Source organism: Homo sapiens, chromosome 16 (assembly GCF_000001405.40).
Source record: "Homo sapiens chromosome 16, GRCh38.p14 Primary Assembly".
Classification (NCBI taxonomy): domain Eukaryota; kingdom Metazoa; phylum Chordata; class Mammalia; order Primates; family Hominidae; genus Homo; species Homo sapiens.
Window position 1 is genome coordinate 27,102,545 of NC_000016.10, and position 21,428 is coordinate 27,123,972.

The following is a 21,428-nucleotide window of genomic DNA, read 5'->3' on the forward strand; positions in this document are numbered from 1 at the left end:
TGATTCTCCCACCTCATCCTCCCAAGTAACTGGGACTACAGGAACACACCATCATCCCAGCTAGTTTTTTAAATTTTTTATAGAGATGGGGTCTCACTATGTTGCCCAGGCTGCTCTTGAACTCCTGGACTTAAGCAATCCTCCCGCAAAGTGCTGGGATTGCAGGCATAAGCCACTGCACCCAGCCTTACTTTCATGTACTGTTAACATAAAATTGGTAGATGTGGGGAGGGCAATTTGACAGTGTCTGTTAAAATTTGAAATACAGCCAGGTGTGGTGAGGGTTGGGGAGGCATCTGTATGGCAACTCAGACAGAGTGAGACCACAGTACGTGGTGGTTATTGAGATGACAGGCATGCCACCCTAGCCAACTGAGCTCCAAGCACCTGACATTTAACCACCTTCTTTGGAGAGAGGCTAAGCCAGCCATATGCACACGTGTGGCCGGGGCTTGCAGCTTCCACAAGCTTCTGCTCATGGAATGAGCCCCGGCCATTTCTGACAGTGCCAGTCACTGGGCAAAAACTGGGGTTCAAGCTCAGGCCATCCAGAATCCCCAGGGTGATGAGTACGTGGTTCTTCAACAGGTTCATTTTATCCTTCATTTCGTTATCTGTTCATCTTTCAGGTGCACACCTCCTCTGTGCCAGGTTCTGTCCCGGACACAGAATGAATGAGCACCATCCTGTGGATTCAGAGTCACAGCCCAGTGGGGCAAGCATACCCAGAACCATATGACATGGGAGATGCTGGTGGAGAATAGACACAGGGCAACATTTTCAGAAGCAGGTACCAGGACTCACAGTCACACGAGCACTGCCTCACTCATGGGGACATGATCAGGAATGCAGAGGCTCTGAGGGAAGGGGTGTGGCCAGGGATGAGGTAATTACAGACAAGGGCATGGCTAGAAAACGGGATATGGGCCAGGCACAGTGGCTCACGCCTGTAATCCCAACCCTTTGGGAGGCTGAAGAGGGCAGATCACCTGAGGTCAGGAGTTCGAGACCAGCCTGCCCAACATGGAGAAACCCCATCTCTACTAAAAATACAAAGTTAGCTGGGTGTGGTGGCGCATGCCTATAATCCCAGCTAGTTGGGAGGCTGAGGCAGGAGAATCGCTTGAACCCAGAAGGAGGAGGTTGCAGTGAGCCGAGATCGCGCCATTGCACTCCAGCCTGGGCGACAAGAGCGAAACTCCATCTCAAAAAAATAAAAAAGAAAAGAAAACTGGGTATGGCCAGGGAAGGGAAGGCAATCAATAGGAACGTCATCAGGGCCATTCAGGAATATTTAGTCTCCCCTCCTTCTGGTCACATGCCAGGATTGCATTTCCTTTCATATTAGATGTGGCCACGTGATGTGCTCTAGCCATGATGTGTAGGTGGAAATGACATATGTCGCTTCTGCATGGAAACTTATGATGTCTCCAGATGGCAGAGGCTTTGTCCACCAGGGTCCCTGAGTGAGGAAGAATTGAACCAAGCCCCCAACAGACCTAGGAGGGACATGAAACACACCTGAGAGTGAAAACTTGGTGGTAATCAGCCACCACAACTAAGATGAGGGGCTGTTTGTTACTGTAGCATCACATGGTCTGGCCTGACTGATACAGTCAGGGAAGGTGATGAAACTGGAGTTGCACTTGGCCAGGGTGAGGAAGTACTGAGACTCAGCAGCTCCTTCTCCTCTCCTTTCCACCCCTCCACCCCTCCACCCCAAGCCTCACTCCTCAGATAGAGCTGCTGTCTGAGCCAGAGCCACATCCAGGCCCTTGACGCTAAGGAAGACAGACAGGAAAAGATGCCAGCTGTCTTCATCTTCATTCCAGAAATTTCACTTGATTTCCCTGGAAGGGGCCTTGGGAGCTCTCCCTCTCTTTCTCTTTATTACATTCTGAGGATTCCTCATTCCCTCTGTGGAGCCTGCGTTTATCCTGAACTCTATCAGCTCCACTGAGCAGCCATAAACCAGGAGCTGTCGAAAAGAGAATCTGCACAGAAGAAAGTCAAAACCAGGTTCTTGGGCACAGAAGGGGCCTCTGAGAATGGAGCCCCCACGATGATGCCAGTTCCTCCCAACCAGCAGGCTCTCCAGGAGCTCCAGACCCCCTAAGGCAGCTAACGGCAACAAACTCTGCCTCCCAGGATCTACACGGACCGTATTTCAGCAAATCTAAGATGCCATATTGATTGTAGGGTGCATCTTTGTGTACCACTAAGAAAGAAAAAACACTGCCAATTAAACCAAGACACGATGTTTTACTATCACTTAGAATTTTTATTTTGTAAGTATTGAAAGAATGCTCTTGGACTTGTTTAGACATAGATTTTTTATCATATATCCCTATTGTGCATATATAAAATGGGAAGTATTAGCAAAATAAATTGGTCGCAGTATCCTAAAACATCTTCACATTCAGAGTTCAGCTCTTGTGAATCTCTTTTCAACACAGAGGCATTGATGTTTGTGTTTTTCATGCAATAGCATCTTCCAGGACATCAAGAATGTAAGTGATGCAACATTTCTTAAAAGAATGTTCTACCATTGTCCCCGAGGTTTTATTTCAAGCAGACATTCATTCGTTCTTCAAGTTTCGATGTTGGCCCTTTATGTTTAAAGAAAATCTTGCCAAAAGATACGAGGCAAAGACAAAGCTCACACGACCAACAGGCCAACAACTGTTGTGAGGTGCCATTGATTATCAGACGAAACCTGATTTCAAAATGTTAAAATGCAGAAGGTGGGGAAAATGTGTGTCCCTGAATCTACAACCATCTTCCCTGATTCTGTTTTCAGTCTGTGGTCAGAGAGATCTGAGTTCAAATCCCAGCCGCACCAGTTCCCAGCTGTAGGATGTGTTAATTGAGGTAGGCTGAGATTTGCTGCAATCCCTCAATCTCAATGACTTCACAAGAGAAAAGTCCCTTTGGCGTCATGCAAATCTGCTGCAGATGTGGCCACGTAGCAATGCGAGGAACCACTTGGAACTTATGGTTCCAGGACCACAACACAGCCTCATCTACCACCACCAGGGCAAGAGAGAGAAAGACACTGGATAATTACAGAAAGTCTCTTCCTGCTTCAACCCGGAAGTGGCACCCATCACTTCCACCCACATTTCATTGGCTGGGCTAACCACATGGCCCTGCTTAACTGCAAGGGGCTGGAAAATGTACTTTCCTGGATACTCAGGAAGGAGGAAAGACCAAAATATTAATGCCAATAGTTAAATCTAGCATGGTAAATTTCAACCTTCCCTGAGCCTTCGTTTCTTGTAAAAAGGAGGGTTATAAATGTGTCTATGTCTGCTGGGCACAGTGGCTCAAACCTGTAATCCCAGAGCTTTGGGAGGCTGAAGCAGGAGGATCACTTAAGGCCAGGAGCTTGAGACCAGGTTGGACAACATAGCAAGACTCTGTCTCTACAAACAAAATTTTATAAAGGAGCCAGCTGTGGTGGTGCAAACCTGTAATCCCAGCTACTTGGGAAGCTGAGGCAAGAGGATGACTTGAGTCCATGAGTTCGAGGCTGCAGCGAGCTATGATTGCGCCCCTGCATTCTGGCCTAGGAGACACAGCAAAGACCACATCTAAATAAATAAATAAATAAAATGTTTAATGCCTATTTTATTGGCTGTCATGAAGGAGAGCGCATGAGTTCATTCAACACACTTTGCACTGTGCCTGGCATATGATAAGTGCCCAGTGAATACTGGCTGTATTCCTAAAATCACGTAGAACACCTTCATTCCTTCCCACCTGGAAATGACTATCCAGGACCCCACTTCTTCCCTGAGGCATCTCTGCTCTCAGGTGACACAGCCCAGCTGCCCCATCTGCTTCTCATGGCTTCCAGACCACTCCCCATTCAGTCATTCCATTCTCTCTCCAGAAGAGACCCTTGTGAGAACGGACCACCCGCCTCTTGCATCTCTGTATCTGACCAGCGTGAGTTCTGATCCCAGCTCCTCCAAACATTTGCTGTGTGACCTTTGCCAAGTTTACAGCCTTCGCTGGGCCTCAGCTTCCTCCTCTTTAAAACAGTCTCAGCAGAGCTCCTCACCTCCAACGTGCCTGAGGCCAGGAGGGTGTGTGATGAACTGGAGGAAGCTCACACAGTCTAAAGGGAAGCCATGCCTCGCTTAGCCAACTGGTGCCAGTTTTATATTACCAGAGTTTTGGGGTTTTGAAAAGAAGGTAAAAATCCCCAATTTTATGTGAAATCTGCCAGTTTTTAAATATCGACAACTACTTCTTTTTTTTTTTTTTTTTGAGACGGAGTCTCACTGTGTTGCCCAGGCTGGAGTGCAGTGGCATGATCTTGGCTCACTACAACCTCCGCCTCCTGGGTTCAAGTGATTCTCCTGCCTCAGCCTCCCAAGTAGCTGAGATTACAGGCAGCCACCACCACACCTGGCTAATTTTTGTATTTTTAGTAGAGACGGGGTTTCACCATGTTAGCCAGGCTGGTCTCGAACCCCTGACCTCAGGTGATCCACTGCCTCTGTCTCCCAAAGTGCTGGGATTACAGGTGTGAGCCACAGAGCCCGGCCACGGCGGCCCATTTTTAATTCTAAGTGTCTTAGTATAGGTTTAAGCAGGTTACATGGAAATAAGGAGATAAAGCAGCAGAATGTACTGAGCCACCACCCCTCTCTCCTTCCTGCTTTCTACTTTCACTCGGCAGCCAGGCGCCTATGGGTTGGAGCCCCCCCTTAACTCCCCCTCCCCAGTAAAGAATTTAGTTTAGGCTAGCTTGCAACATAAATAATTGTACCCTTTCTTATCAGCCAAGTGCAGCCACTAGGGCCATAAGTCAAATGTTTAAAGAGTCCTGAGATAGTCGCAATGCATTATGGGCTGCAATAAAAGGCAGCAGAAAGACCCTAAAGAACATACTTGAAACCTTAATACAACCACCAATAGGTGACGTCCGGGAAGATTGTAACCCCATAGTACTCAGCCAATGAGGAACTGGGGGAGGGACTTGAGCGCTAGGGAGTAAATAGCTTGTTAAAACCGTTCTGGGTGTGCCTGCATGCCAGACACCAATCTTGCAAGACCACCATTAAAGTCTCACTTCTGCTGTTCTCCATGTCCCTGAGTCCATTCTTTGGGTTTGGATGGGTAAGAATGTTTCTTACAGTCTTGAACTCCTGATCGCAAGTGATCCAACCACCTTGACCTCCCAAAGTGTGGGGATTACAGGCTCGAGCCACTGCACCTGGTCTACTTCTTGGGAAAAAATAATAATTATCCGCATGCCAAACAAAATGTTATCAGTGGGGGAAGTCTGACCAGTTTACAAGCTCTGGGTACACCCAGGAGAGGAGTACCACACCCAGAAAGTAGACTCACCCTGAAGAGCCACTGGAGCTGGTCCTGGGGGGCCCAGGCAGGAGGGAAAAGGGGTATTTGCTGGTGACCATATCACTGGTTTTATCAAAAGCAAGTCCTAGCAGCAAAACATCAGTGCATCCGCCTCTATCAGTGCCTCCTCTGGGCCAGGCTTGGGACACTCAGAGAAGAATCAGATCTAAGCCCTGTCCCTGGGGCACCCCCACACACAGGAGAAGATGGGGGCAAAACAGGCAACTGCAAGGGATTATGTGGGGGTGCACAAGGGGCACACTGATTGCCTGGGAACTGTGGCCAGGGAAGGGGCATTGGCCCAGAGTGCTACAGAGGGGTGGCCTCCAGGCATCTGTATAACACATCAGGCAGGCAGGTGGGGGACGGCATGTGCAGAGGAAGGCCTGGGGTGTGAGTGTGCTTGGTGCATTGCGGCAGGAGCACCGCAGGGATCCTGGAGTCCCCAAGACTCCTAGAGGAGCGGGAGGAGGGGAGATGTGCCAGTGGGCAGAGGGTGCGGTCAAGTCCCACTGCCTCTGTTCACCCCCATACCCCCATTCACCTGGCACTAGTTGGCCTCTATCAAAAACAACGTGAGCATCATTTCTCCACCCTGGCTGCCCATTAAAATAAAAAGCAAACGCCAGGCGCAGTGGCTCAGGCCTGTAATCCCAGCACTTTGGGAGGCCAAGGCAGGCGGATCACTAGAGGTCAGGAGTTCGGGACCAGCCTGGCCAACACGGTGAAACCCCCATCTCTACAAAACTGCGAAAATTAGCTGGGGTGGTGGCAGGCAGCTACTCAGGAGGCTGAGGCAGGAGAATTAATTGCTTGAACCCGGGAGGTAGAGGTTGCTGTGAGCCAAGATGGAGCCACTGCCCTCCATCCTGGCGACACAGGGAGACTCTGTCTCAAAAATAAAATAAATAAAATAAAATATAAAATAATAAAATAAAATAGTGTCTGGGACCCACCAGAAGTTCTGGTTACCGGTATGTCTTAAAGGCTCCCGGGTGATTCTAAGGCGCAGCCAGATTAGAGAAGTAAGGGCCTGGACGTGCCCCTCCTGGCACAGCCCTGGGCTCTCACTGGTGCGGAGCCTGTGCAAGGCTCTTCTGCGACTGTCCGGTTCGATCCTGCCCGCGGCTCTGTGAGGCTGGCCAGGCGTCCTCCCCTCCCAGGTGCAGAAACAGCCATGCAGGCCAGGTAACCACGTACCCAGAGACTGAAGTTAAATCTGACTCCAGAATCCAGAAGAAAGGAAGAGAAAGGGAGGAAAGAGGGATGGAGGAAAGGAAGGGAGGAAAGAGTGGGGGAAGAAAAGAAGAGGGAAGGAAGGGAGGAAGGGAGGGAGGAAAAAAGGGCAGGAGGGAGGGAGGAAGGGAGGGGGAGGGAGGGAAAGAGAGAGGGAGGAAGGGAAGGAGGAAAAGAGAGGGAGAATGAAAGGGAAAGAAGGGAAGAAAGGAGGGAGGGAGGGAGGAAAGGAGAGAGAGTAAGGAAGGGAAAGAGGGAAAAGGGAAGAAGGCAGGGAGGAAGGAAAGGAAGGAGGGGAAGTTGGAGGGATAGATAGATGATGGGTGGATGGACGGAAGAATGGATGAGTGGTGGGTGGGTGGGTGAAAGGATACGAGGGAGGAATGAATGAATGAAGAGGAGGAAGGGAAGAAAAGAAGATAGGGAAAGGAGGAGAAGGGAGAAAAAGTGATATGTGGGGGTTGGAGAAACGAAGGCGGAAAGGACGGATGAATTAATGAATTAGGGATAGATGAAAGAGGGGAGGAGCAAGGAGAGCGGGCTGCTGCCTCGGCGACCTCTGGTCCCCGGGGTCCCGTGAGCAGCCAGGGCGGAGGTCAGGGAAGGCGGGTCTGGGGTACGAGACCAGGAGCTGTGCGGTCTCCGACGGGACTTGGCCTCCGCGGGGCCCTGCTGCCCCCCAGCGGCGATGCGCGGCACTGCAGAGGCGGCGGCGGGACCGGGGGCGGCCGCCCCTCCTTCCCCGGGCTCCGGGAGCCGCCCGCGCGTTCCCTTAGCAGCCGCCCCACCCGCCGCTCCCCGCTCCCGCCCCGCCGCGCCCGCTGCAAACTTTGGCCTCTGCAGCCCCGGCATCCGCTGGACGGAAGAGAGAGAGAGGAGCTCCTCCCGTAGCTTTCTCCCGAAAACGTTTTCTCTTCCCTACTCTCTGAAAAAGGATAACGAGGTGGGGGAGGGGAAGGAAATAGTTTAAGTTAATTTAAATTGTGTCTGCCGTGGGCAACTCTCCAAGAAAGGGCTTTCCTTTTTTTTTTTTTTTTTTTTTTTTTTTAAGAGGCACGTTCGAAGCACTCAGAGAAGCTCTTTGCTGCAGCCCAGCGGCCACGGATAGAGCCTGGGAAGTGGAGAAGGAGCTGCTCCGAGAGGGTCCCAGGGAGCAGGGGGACCCCAGGCGTGGCCCTGGCCCTTGGGATCTCTGGGACCAGGCCTGGACCCTCGAAAGGGCGCGGCTGATCCTGCCTAGGGGCTTGCTCTTGGCCGCCACTTCTCCTAGGCGGACTCCTCTAATCCAGCCGGAGCCATGAGGTCGTACTATTTATCCCCACTTTGCAGCTGGGCCCAGAGAAATCAAGCGCGCACAGCTAGGAAGTGGCAGTGCCCCGGTTTGAAGGCACCAAGGCCCATCCTGAGCCCTCAGGCTCGGGACTCCACCATACAGCTCAAAGTGGATGCTAGGATCTTCCCATCCTACAAGAAAAGATGCTGGGAGCTCCAGAGGTTTGCTCAACGCCACCTGCCTACAGTCTGCTGCCCAGACCCTCCAGACCAGCCTTACATCAGGAAACTCCCATGAGCTCCGGGAGCTGACCTCAAACAGCTGCCAGACCCGGGGGTGTGTGGGGAGCCAACCTCCAAAGTGGCCAGAGGCTGCAGTCCCTGCCAGCATCCCTGGTGACCTCAGCTGTGGGCAGGGAGCTCAGGGAGGGGGTCAGGAAAGACAGGGAGGGGGCGAGGGAGGGGGTCGGGGAGGCTCAGAGGCAGAGCCCACACAGTCCCTGCCACCTATCTCCTGCCTCTCTCCTCCATGTCAGGAGGGACAGTGCTGACTTGTGGGGCTTCATTTCACCCAACAACTCACTGGTACATTCAATTAATATTTACGGAGTGTCTGCTGGATGCCAGGAGCTATGTTAGACAGTGAGGAGATCGTGGTAAATATGGTACTTAGTGCTGAAGACAGGCGATACAAAAGTCAACCAACAAATGCACACGATGATCTGAATATTAATAAGTACTAAGAAATAAATACAACAAGGTGATACACTAAAAAGTGATGGGTTGGGGGCCGGGTGTGGTGGCTCACGCCTCTAATCCCAGCACTTTGGGAGGCTGAGGTGGGCGAATCACTTGAGGTCAGGAGTCCGAGACCAGCCTGGCCAACATGGTGAAACCGCATCTCTACTAAAAATACAAAAATTAGCCGGGCCTGGTGGTGGGCGCCTGTAATCCCAGCTACTTGGGAGGCTGAGGCAGGAGAATCCCTTGAACCAGGGAGGCGGAGGATGCAGTGAGCCGAGATCGTGCCACTGTACTTCAGCCTGGGCGACAGAGCGAAACTCCGTCTCAAAAAAAAAAAAAAAAAAAGTGACGGGTTGGGGGTCACCATTATCATGGCTCTTATTTGAACTCATCTTTACAATTGCACTTAACTACATGGGGGTGTATGTGCCATGTCCCTGCATCTGTCTCCTGCACCAGGTATGACAGCTCGAAGGCAGAGTTTGTCCTGCCATCCCTGCGCCCCCACCCGCAGGACCTGGCCCTGCAGCATCTCAGGGAAGGCAGCAGAGTTGATCTGGTGCTTGTGAGTTAACAGAGCCCAGAGATGGCTGAGAAGCCTCCCTCAAGGAGCTTGAACTTGACACCGATTTCGGGAAGGGAGATCACAGTGATAGCCAAAGTACTCTGAGCCCTTGCTCTGCAGGCATTTGTATCCCTTATCTCCATCAATCTCCACAGCAGGCCTTTGATGTAGATACCATTTCTAACCCATTCTACAAATGTGGAAATCAAGGTCACAGCTCTATTAAAGGGGAACCAAGATTTAAACAGACAGCCTGGTTTCAGCACCCCCTGCCCTCTACAGTCTGCTGCCGGGTGGATGCTACGCTGAGGGGAAAATGTTTTAGGGAAGAGAGAGGGGGTGGGTCTGTTACCTTGAGCAAGTCACTTCCCCTCACAGAGCCTCCATTTCCTCAGGCCTGCAAAACAGGGATGAAGCGGGGTTCCTGCCTTGGCTGGATTGTTCATTTGGGGGATTGAATGAGACAATGCAAGTAACTTGCCTGCCCAGCAAGAAACCTGGATCATTGAACCAAAGGATGGATGGATGAATGAATGAATGAATGAATGAATGTCATAAATGTTAGTCCCCTTCCTTGTCCCCCAATTCTTTAACAGTAAAAAAAAGAAAGAAAAGTCTGCTAGGCTCCTGCTCTGCTCACTTTCTTGCATGCCACAAATGCTCATGTATTTCCTCCAGCTAGTCCCAAATGATGTGCACGTGATGGTGCACTTACATCCCGTCTCTAGAGCAGAGCTCCTGGGGCAGTAAAGCTCCAGTTCCAGGCTGATGTCTAATGCAAGATATCTCACCTGAGTCCTACACAGGGCTTCCTTGAATCAGACAGACCCAGGTCCAAATCCTCACGTGCACAGATGTGCTGTGTGACCTTGGGCAGATGGCTTAACTTCTCTGATGCCAGACTCCTTCAGCTGTAAGGAGGACATCTGCCACATAGGTTCTCCTAAGGACTTCATCTAAGCCCCCTTTCCCTGTGAAGTGGTGAGGGTAGGCAAAGGGAGCAAATCCAGAGGGTAAAGTCATATGCACTTTGCTGTGAGCTTCCTGAGCTTCAAGAGAGGCTGAGATTAAGCCATCCATTATTTTTCTTCCTTTTTTGTGTGTGCATCTTTTTTTTTTTTTTTCTTTTTTTGAGAGGGAGTTTTGCTCTTGTCGCCCAGGCTGGAGTGCAGTGGTGCAATCTTGGCTCACTACAACCTCTGCCTCCCGGGTTCAAGTGATTCTCCTGCCTCCGCCTCCCAAGTACCTCGGATTACAGGCACTTGCCACCATGCCCGGCTAATTTTTGTATTTTTAGCAGAGATAGGGTTTCACCGTGTTGGCCAGGCTGGTCTCGAACTCCTGACCTCAGGTGATCCACCTGCCTCCGCCTCCCAAAGTGCTGGGATTACAGGAGAGATCCACTGCGCCTGGTCCCTCGTGCTTCTTTATCACATGACCTGACTCCCTTGCACCCAATCCACCACCACCTGTCAGTTTCACCTCAGATATCAACACAAGGCCCTGCTCTCTTCTCCAGCCTTGCTGCTTCCTCCGGGCCCAAGCTCCCATCACCACCAACCCGAATAGCTCCGGCAGCCTCCACTGCCACGCACCTCCCCACCCTCCAGACAGCAGCCTGAGAGGGTAAGACAATCCAGATCAGATCCCACCCCGGCTTAAACCCAGCCATGGCTTCTCATTGACCTCAGAATAAAATGCACGCTGCCTGTTCTGACTGTGCTGCAGTTTCCGTTTGTCCTCGGGCTTCCTCTCCAGCCTTCTGCACCCGGCCCAGTACTCAGACCTGACCTGTGTCTGGAGGCTGACCTGCAGAGGCTGCATCAACCTTTGCTCTCTGCCATCTGGCTCCTGATTGACTTCAACCAATAGGAGTAAGAGGTGAAGCAGGAGGTCAGCGAGCAGGAGGAGAGAGAGGTGGGGTATTACTCCCCGGCTTCCTCTCTGCTTGGCCATGGGTGACAGCAGCTGGGTCCCTTGGGTGAGAGCTGTGGGCCACCTCCTACAGCTACCGCTCTGGCTGGGTTCCCCTAACTAACAGGGCCTTCCTGGCCCATTTAGGACTGAAGATGGTAACAAGTGCCCCACTGCTGCTGGTCCCAAAGTCCTTTGTTACCTCTTTTCAGTTTCTCTCAACCTGATCCACACCTCCATAAAGAGGGAGGCTGAGGCAAGAGGATCACCTGAGCCTAGGAGGTCGAGGCTGCAGTGAGCCGTGATCGCACCACTGCACTCCAGCCTGGGCAACAGAGTGAGACCCTGTCTCAAAAAAAACAAAAAGAGTCCTTTCATTCTTTCACTAAACTTTCACCAATGACCCCACCCCTTGAGTGTGCTGTCTGTATCCTGCCTGCACGGTAACTGGCAATAAGACCCTCATGCTCTAGCCCCTGCCCAGCTCCCAACCCCCTCACACAACTCTTCCAGCTCCTTTGCTATGCTCTGGCCATACCTGGCTCCTTTCTGTCCCTCAGCTGCACCAAGCCTGTGGCCTCGTTAGTGCCACATATTTTCTGTTCCATCTACCTTGGGACACTGTTCCCAGATCTTTATGCAGCTGGTCTCAGCCCAAATGTCACTCTTCAGGGAGGCTTTCCCTGACCACCTGTCACACACACTCATCCATATCCTTCACTTGACTGATAACCAATCCAGAATTAACCTCTTCAGTTCTTTGTGGGTTTGTTTCTGTTTATACCTATAGCAATGTTGATTCTGGCCAAGCATCATGGTGGCTCACATCTATAATCCCAGTGCTTCGGGAGGCTTAGGCAGAAGGATTGCTTGAGCCCAGGAGTTTGAGACCAGTCTGGGCAATATAGCACAACCCCATCTCTACAACAATACAAAAAAAAAAAAAAAAGATTAGCCAGGCATGGTGGTGTGTGCCTGTAGTCCCAGCTGCATGGGAGGTTGAGGTGGGAGGATTGTTTGAGCCCAGGAGCTGGAGGCTACAGTGAGCTATGATCTCACCACTGTATTCCCAGCCTGGGTAACAGAGTGAGATCTTGTCTTTTGAAAAAAAAAGAGTTACTTACACAAGGGCAGTCTTTTTTTCCACTAGTCTTTTTGTTCACTGCTGTAGTCCTGGCAGTAGTGAACATAAGGGGTCTTGATAAATATTTGTGGAATTAAAAAAAGCTTTATGTTCACTCTGGAGAGAGTGAGGACACTCACTCTGGAACCCCTGAAGGCAGAGGGTGCCCTGGGGTCTCTTTTCCAGGTTATGATCAGGCCTTTCTTGCCTCAAATCTCTCCACATCACCTCTCAGGGTCCACAAATTCTCGCACTTCAGTAACATCCCCAGTTGTGCTTCCTGAGAAGTAGCTGGGTGCTGATGAAAGAGCTTTGGCACAGGGCTCAGACACACCTGGGTTTCACTCCTGGCTCTGCTATGCCCATTGCCTCTCTGGCCCTCAGTTCCGCCATCTATTAAAAAGGAAACCCAAATGGAACCCAACATACTGGGGTCGTGGAAAGGAGCAATGAGACCCAGGCACGTAAGGCAGCCAGCACTGCCCTGCCCCATGCCAGGGATTTGAAGAGCAGCAAAGAGAATGAGATGCTGAAGGGTCCCTGGGAAAGGGTCCCGGGTCTTCCCCACCCAGGCTGAAGCCCAATCAGGAGAGGAAGGTGGACCTGTGAAGGTAGGGGCGGTGCCTAGACTAATGTAGCTGGGAGAGGCTTCCAGAGCTCTCCATGCACAAGCTGGTGTGGAGCAGTGCAGGAGTCCCAGGCGTGTAAGAGCAATGTGGACGTGGTGAAGGACTCAGGAGGGTTCAGAAAAATTCAGTAATTGTCTGGGCGTGGTGGTTCATGCCTGTAATCCCAACATTTTGGGAGGCTGAGGCAGGTGGATCACCTGAGGTCAGGAGTTTGAGACCAGCCTGGCTAATGTGGTGAAACCCCCTCTCCACTAAAAAGACAAAAATTAGCTGGGCATGGTGGCGCATCCCTGTAATCCCGGCTATTCAGGAGGCTGCGGCAGGAGAATCACTTGAACCTGGGAGGTGGAGGTTGCAGTGAGCCGAGATGATGCCACTGCACTCCAGCCTAGGCGATAGAGTGAGACTCCGCCTCAAAAAAAACAAGAAAAAAAAAAAGGAAGAAAAGAAAAAGAAAAGGAAAGAAAAGCTCAGTAACTTCCCAGTGCATCTCATTGAACTTAGCATGGGCACCCACCTGATCTCAATGCACCCAGGAGTTGGCATTCGAGGGCAGCAAGGAGCATCCCTCAGACTTGGATGCAGTTATACACAGCGCCACAGCAGCACGCATGGCCTGACGTCAAAGACTGGCTGAGAATCTCAGAAAATCATGGATGTCCCCTCCCCAACACCCTGACCTCCGCCCCTGCCGAACTTAGGGGTAACCCCAAGGAATGTAAGGAAACCTAAATTGATTGGAAGAATGGACACAAATTAAACATGGTTATGAACTTTGTTAGTCCATTTTGCATTGCTGTAAAGGAATACCTGAGGCTGGGTAATTTATTAAAAGAAAGGAGGTTTATTTGGCTCAAGGTTCTGCAGGCTGTGCAAGCATGGTGCCAGCATCTGCTCAGTTTCTGGTGAGGCCTCAGGAAGCTTTTAATCATGGCAGAGAGGAAGAGGAGCCAACGTGTCACATGATGAGAGGGAGCAAGAGAGACATGGGAGGTCCTAGACTCTATTCTTCCTTTAATTTTTCAACTTTTGTGGGTACATAGTAGTGTATATATTTATGGGGTACATGAGAGATTTTGATACAGGCAGGCAATGCATAATAATCCTATCAAGGTAAACGGGGGATCCATCATTGGAAGCATTTATCCTTTGTGTTACAAACAAGCCAATTACACTCTTTTAGTTATTTATAAATGTGTAATTAAATTATTATTGACCATAGTCACACTGTTGTGCTATCAAATCTATCAAATACTAGGTCTAATTCTCCTTTTTTTTTTTTTTTTTTTTTTTTTTTGAGATGAAGTCTCGCTCTGTTGCCCAGGCTGGAATGCAGTGGCATGACCTCAGCTCACTACAACCTCCTCCTCCCAGGTTCAAGTGATTCTCCTGCATCAGCCTCCTGAGTAGCTGGAGCTACAGGCACCCACCACCACACCTGGCTAATTTTTGTATTTTTAGTGGAGATGGGGTTTCACTATGTTGGCAAGGCTGGTCTTGAATTCCTGACCTCAAGTGATCCACCCGCCTTGGCCTCCCAAAGTGCTGGGATTACAGCCATGAGCCACTGCACCTGGCCCTTATTCATTCTTTCTAACTATTTTTGTACTCATTAGCCTTCCCAACTCCTCCCCGCCACCAACCGGCACCCCCCACTACCCTTCGCAGCCTCTGGTCACCATCTTTCCCAGGCTCTAAATTTTTAACGGCCAGATCTCACATGAATAGAATGAGAACTCACTCATTACCACCAGGAGGGCACCAAGACATTCATGAGGGATCTGCCCCCATTTCCCACTAGGCACCACCTTTAACATTGGGAATCACATTTCAACATGAGATTTGGAGGAGACAAACATCCCAACCATAGTGTGAAGTGAATGAATAAAGAGAGTGATATTTCCCATGCACCTGAGATGTGGACTGACATTTCTACCACATGGTACGTTGCCAGAATCCTCCATTGGGTGTGTGTGTGTCTTGCGACTTGAATGAGCCTGAGAAGCCTTGAGACTTCTTCCTGGGCCTCGGAAGGGCTGTCCTTATCAGGGACAGCTATTCTGCAAGAACTCTGCATGGGGAAGAGTAGAAATGACTGGGGGTGTAAATGTTGTCTGATTAATCACAAGAGAAAGTGCCTCTTAGATGGAGCTGCCCAGTGATGGAAAGGACTACCATGAAAGGAAGCGAGTTTCCTATTCCTGCAGGTATGCAAGTGACACTGTCAGAGGTGTGGAGAAGTAACTCCTACCTGTGGAGTTTGCCTGACTAAAATAACACTGAGGCCCCTCTGAAGCTTTATAGGCTCTGAGTCTTCCAGCAGAGCCCAGAGTGATGTTGGGTAATCAGAGACGGAATTAGCTGAATGCATGGGGAGGGGAGGAGGAAGAGAGAAGGAAGAAGAATAGGAAACAGTAAGGGAGGAGAGTAGGAGAAAGGAAATAAGGGTCCCAACTGAGAAGGCCCAACATTAGTCAAAAGTTTTTCAAAGAAAGGCCGGGCGTGGTGGTTCACGCCTGTAATCTCAGCACTTTGGGAAGCTGAGGCGGGCAAATCACTTGAGGTCAGGAGTTCGAGACCAGCATGGTCAACATGGCAAAACTCCATTTCTACCAAAAATACAAAAGTTAGGCGGGCATGGTGGCGTGCACCTGTAATCCCAGCTACTTGAGAGGCTGAGGCAGGAGAATTGCTTGAACCCAGAGGGCAGAGGTTGCAGTGAGCTGAGATAGCACCACTGCACTCCAGCCTGGGCAAGAGAATGAGACTCCATTTCAAAAAAAAAAAAAAAAAAAAAAGTTTTTCAAAGATAATATTTCCCAAGTGGGGGCCACATGTTCACAACAGTCAGAATAGCTTAAACCAAGCTTGTCCAGCCTGCAGCCTGCAGGCCACATGCAGCCCAGAATGGCTTTGAATGTGGCCCAACACAAATTCAAAAACTTTCATAAAACATTATGAGATTTATGCATGGCGCTTTTTTTTTTTTTTTAGCTTATCAGCCATCATTAGTGTTAGTGTATTTTATGTGTGGCCCAAGACAGTTCTTCCAATGTGGCCCAGGGAAGCCAAAAGATTGGGTGCCCCTGGACTATGCTGCAGTAACAAATTAACCTGAAATCTCAGTGCTTTGGCACAGTAAATGTATTTCTCACTCATGTAGAGTCCAGGTGTCCCTATGGCTGTGATATCTGGAATGCAAGGAGGAGGATGGAATGCAAAAGGGAGCTGGAAAAAGCCCACTAGCATTACACTGCCACAGCCCAGCAGTGAAACGGCACTTCACTGCCACAGCCCAATAGTAGCACTCACCAGCCAGTGCCCAGAAGAAGTCACATGATCCCAACCATCTGCAAAGGAAGTTGAGAAACTTAGAGAAGACGGTGGATATTTTGAGAGCAATAATTTTCTCTACCACAGACACAGACCCATAATGGAACACAATTTTAGATGGTAAATACGATAATTTTTGGTGAAAATAAATAAAGCGTTAAAAAACATTGAGCTGCGTAATGAGAAAATTCTTCCCAGATCAATTATCTCAAAAGCCTCATAATTATGAGAAAGTCTCAGCTTGGTGATAATATGTCTTTAACACCTCCCTAAAAGTCTAACACTGCTAGTCTTTATCAATATATAAAGCACTGACCTCAGATTTAGAGCCTTCAAGAGAAAAGAGAATATTCTACTTAAGCTTACAAAACACTGGTGTGTTCCCATCATATTCATTTTCATGATTACCTCCTATTTACGGAAAATGATGCCAATTTTCCATGTAGGGTGACAAAGTAAAGTTTCCTTTTAAATAAATTTATTTTTTAAAATTGACTCTCTTTAAAGAAGACTATTAAGTTAGTAGTAGTATAGGTGGTACCCGAATATGGCAAAAAAGCATTAATGATGCAGTGTGAGTTATTGAAGTTTGTAAAATTCTGTTCCACCTCCAATTCAGCAGTGCATATATTGGATTTTTTATGTGTTTGTTTAGTATTTAATTGACAAAAAGATTTTATATTTTAAGGTGTATGACTGATGATTTGATATACATTGTTTAATGATGACCACAATCAAATTCATTAACATATCCATCATCACCCATGTCATACACCAGATCCCCAGAATTTGTTCATGTTATAACTGAATGTTTGTGCCCTGTGACCACCATTTCCCCATGTACCCAGTAACTACTGTTCTACTCTCTACTTCTATGAATTCAACTTTTTAATATTCTACATATAAATAAGACCATACATTATTTGTCTTTCTGGGTCTAGATTATTTCACTTCCCATAATTTCCTCTAAGTTCATCCATGTTGTTGCAAAAGACAGGATTTCATTCCTTTTTATGGCTGAATAATATTCTCCATTCATCCATCCATGGATATTTAGGTTGTTTCCATATCTTGGCTACCGTGAATACAGCTGCAATGAACATGAGGTGCAGATACCTCTTCGACATAGCAATTTCACAGCCTTTAGCTATATACCCAGAAGTTAGATGGCTGGATCATGTGGTACTTGTATTTGTGGCTTTTTGAGGAACCCCCATACTGTTTGCCCTAATGGCTATACTAATTTCCATTTCCACCAACAGTGTATAAGCATTTCTTTTTCTCTACACCCTCACCAGCACTTGCCAACTCTTATCTTTTTGATAATAGTCATCCTAACAGGTGCGAGATATCTCACTGTAGTTTTGTTTGCATTTATCTGATGATTAGTGATATTGAGCACTTTTTCATATACCTGTTGGCCATTTGTATGTCTTCCTTAGAAAAATGTTTATTCAGATCCTTTGCCAATTTTTTTTTTCCAATCTATACTCTTACTTTACTTTTTTTCCTTTTACTTTTATTTTGAGTTCTGGGGTACATGTGCAGAATGTGCAGGTTTGTTACATAGGTGTACCATGGTGGTTTGCTGCACAGATCAACCCATCACTTTGGTATTAAGCCCAGCATCCATTAGCTATTCTTCCTGATGCTCTGCCAATTTTTAAATAGCATTATTTGGGTTTGGGAGTTTTTTGTGTTGTTTTGTTTTGGGGGGTTATTTGGTTGATTGGTTTTGCTATTAAGTTATGTGAGTTCTTTCTATATTTTTGTTATTAGCCCCTTATGAGATGTACAGTTCACAAATATTTTATCCCATTCCATAGTTTGCCTTTGCATTTCACTTATTGTTTTCTTTGGTGTGCAGAAGCTTTTTAGCTTGATGTAGTCCCACTTGTTTGTTTTTCCTTTTGTTGTCTGTGCTTTTGATGTTATATCAAAAAATTCATTGCCAAGATCAATGACAAGGAGCTTTTCCCCTATGTTTTCTTCCATGAGTTTTATGGTTTCAGATCTTACATTTAAGATTTAAATACATTTTGAATTAACTTTTGTATATGGTGTAAACCAAGTGTCCAATTTTATTCTTTTGCATGTGCCTATCCAGTTTTCTTACCTTTACTCATCAGGGATATTGACCTGTGATTTTCTTTTCTTGTAGCATTCTTATCCTAGCTTGTCTCCTTTCAGGAATTGACAAGCTTATCCCAAAATTCTTATAGAAATCCAAGAATTCCATCTTGAATCTTAAAAAAAGTAAAAGTTCAAGAATTCACACTTCTCAGTTTCAAAACTTACTACAAAACTACAGTAATCAAGACAGTGCAGTATTGGCATATGTATCAGTGGAAAAAATTAGATTCCAGAAATAAATCCGTATAACTATGGTTGATTAATTTGGGGCAAGGGCCTATTCAATGGGAAAGGGATAGTTTTTTCAATAAAAGGTGCTGGGACAACTGGATATCTACATGTAAAAGAATGAATAATGTTGAATCCCTACCTCACACCATATACAAAAATTACTCAGAATGAATCAAAGGTTTAAATTTTAACAGCTAAAACTATCAGACTCTTAAAAATCAGAGAAAGAATTGAATTTGGACCTTAGATCTGATACCAAAATCATAAGCAAGAAAAATAACACTAGATAAATTAGACTTCATCACAATCTAAAACTTACTTCAGAGGACACCATTAAGAAAGTGAAAAGATAATCCAAAGAATAGGAGAAAAATTTTGCAAATCATATTTGTAAGGGATTTAAGTCTCAAACATATAAAACTACTACAAATCCATAATAAAAGCACAAATAAGGCCAGGCTTGGTTGCTCACACCTGTAATCCCAGCACTTTGGGAGACTGAGGGGGGCAGATCACCCAAGGTCAGGAGTTTGACACCAGCTGGGACAACAAAGTGAAACCCCATCTCGACTACAAATACAAAAAATTAGCTGGGGGTGGTGTCACATGCCCATAATCCCAGCTACTCAGGAGGCTGAAGCAGGAGAATCATCTGAACCCAGGAGGCGGAGGCTGCAGTGAGCTGAGATCACACCACTGCACTCCAGCCTGGGTGACAGAGTGAGACTCTGTGTCAAAAAAATAAATAATAAAATCAAATTAAAATTTAAAAACACAAATAATGCAGTTTGAAAATGGACATGCCGAAATCTGATACACATGCCTCCAAACAAAATCTACAAATTGCCAATAAGCACAGGAAAAGATGTTTAACATCATTATCCATCAAGTACATGCAAATCAAAACCACAATGAAATACTACTTTACACTCACTAGATGGCTACAATCAAAATACAGATAATAACAAGGTAAGGATGTGGGAAAATAGGAACCCTCATACACTGCTGATGAGAATGGAAAATGGTGCAACCACTTTGGAAAACAGTCTGGCAGTTTCTCAAAAAGTTGAACATAGAGTGTATTTGTCAAGGTTCTCAGAGGCAGAGAACAAACAGGATATATGTATATATGAAAGGGAGTTCATTAGGGAGAATTAGCTCACATAATTACAAGGCAAAGTCCCACAATAGGCCGTCTGCAAGCTGGGGAAGAGAAAAGCCAGTAGTGGCTCAATCTGAGTCCAAAAGCCTCAAAACCAGGGAAGCTGATAGTGCAGCCTTCAGTCTGCAGCCAGAGGCCCAAGAGCCCCCAGCAAGCTGCTGGTGCAAGTCGCAGTCCGAAGGGCTGGAGAACCTGGAGTCTGATGTCCAAGAGCAGGAGGAGCAGAAGCAAGCATTCCCCATGGGAAGAAGAAAGAAACCAGAAGACTAGGCAAACAAGTCTATCCCACCTTCTTCTGCCCGCTTTGTTCTGGCTGTGCTGGCAGCCGATTGGATAGTGCCCACCCACATTGAGGGTGGGTCTTCCTCTCCCAGTTCACTAACTGAAATGTCAATCTTCTCTGGCAACACCCTCATAGGAACACCCAGAAACAATACTTTACCAGCCATCTAGGCATCCTTCAATTCAATCAAGTTGACACCTAATATTAACCATCACATAGCGTTATCATGTGAATCAGCAATTCTCCTCCTAAGGATATGCCCCAAAGGATGAAAACATATGTCCACACAACATCTTGTCAAAAATATTTATGGTGGCATTATTCATAATAGCCAAAAAGTGGAAACAACCCAACATCCATCAACTGATGAACAGATAAATAAATTGTGGTCTATCCATACCATGGAATATTATTCAGCAATAAAAAGAAATGAAGCGGCCAGTCACCGTGGCTCACGCCTGTAATCCCAGAACTTTGGGAGGCCGAGGCGGGTGGATCACCTGTGGTTAGGAGTTTGAGACCAACCTGACCAATAGGATGAAACCCCATCTCTACTAAAAATACAAAAATTAACTGGGCGTCATGGTGGGCACCTGTAGTCCCAGCTACTCAGGAGGCTGAAACAGGAGAATTACTTGAACCTGGGAGGCGGAAGTTGCAGTGAGCCGAGACTGCACTCCAGCCTGGGCGACAGAGCGAGACTCTGTTTCAAAAAAAAAGAAAGAAAGAAAGAAATGGAGCACTGATACATGCTACGACATGAATGAACCTTGAAAACATTATTCTAATTTAAAAAAAGAAGCAAGTCTCAAAAAACCATATAGGATTCAATTTATTTGAAATGTCCGGAATAGGCAAATCTACAGACGCAAAACGTAGATTAGCGGTTGTCTAGGGCTGTGGCCATGGGATGTGGGAGAGTGGGAGAGTTTGGGGTGATGGCTGAGGGATGAATATGTTATTGGAGTAATGAAAATGTTTTTAAATTGATGGAGATGATTGACGCACAATTGTGTGAATATACGAAAAGCAAATGAATTGTAAGAAAATGGCTTACATTCCTTAGACTTACAAAATGGGGAGCAGGAAATGGAGATAGGTGACGACAGAGAGGTCAGCAGAGCGAAGCTGAGAATCATTAGGTTAACAAAGGTGGATCAGGAGCCCACCAAGTGGAGGCAGCATCAGGGCAAGGGAGTCTGTCTGAACAGGGACAGGATCATTGTTCATGGGCGTGCACGTTCCCACACCAGGGCATCCTATAGAAGAGCGAATGGGGGCTGAATTTACCCAGGCTCTGCTTACCAAGCCCGTGCCCACACGGCTGATCCTGCCCCCAGGCTGTTTTTAATAACTCACACTAAGGCCCTGTTTGGGGCTCGTGGCCCTCCTGCCAAGCTGACTCACTCCTGCTCTAACAAAGCTGTGAG

General features: G+C 47.5%; 4 annotated features.

The window, feature by feature from the left end:
- Positions 7,213 to 7,412: a silencer, noted in NCBI's record as "silent region_7297". NCBI's record gives its function as "represses an Ori minimal core promoter by ATAC-STARR-seq in GM12878 lymphoblastoid cells {active_cell/tissue: GM12878}" and the evidence as "EXISTENCE:reporter gene assay evidence [ECO:0000049][PMID:35858748]".
- Positions 7,451 to 7,999: an enhancer, noted in NCBI's record as "H3K4me1 hESC enhancer chr16:27121316-27121864 (GRCh37/hg19 assembly coordinates)". NCBI's record gives its function as "activates a minimal SCP1, AML or CMV promoter by ChIP-STARR-seq in primed H9 embryonic stem cells {active_cell/tissue: H9 hESC(primed)}" and the evidence as "EXISTENCE:reporter gene assay evidence [ECO:0000049][PMID:30033119]".
- Positions 8,000 to 8,546: an enhancer, noted in NCBI's record as "H3K4me1 hESC enhancer chr16:27121865-27122411 (GRCh37/hg19 assembly coordinates)". NCBI's record gives its function as "activates a minimal SCP1, AML or CMV promoter by ChIP-STARR-seq in primed H9 embryonic stem cells {active_cell/tissue: H9 hESC(primed)}" and the evidence as "EXISTENCE:reporter gene assay evidence [ECO:0000049][PMID:30033119]".
- Positions 10,649 to 10,838: an enhancer, noted in NCBI's record as "active region_10609". NCBI's record gives its function as "activates an Ori minimal core promoter by ATAC-STARR-seq in GM12878 lymphoblastoid cells {active_cell/tissue: GM12878}" and the evidence as "EXISTENCE:reporter gene assay evidence [ECO:0000049][PMID:35858748]".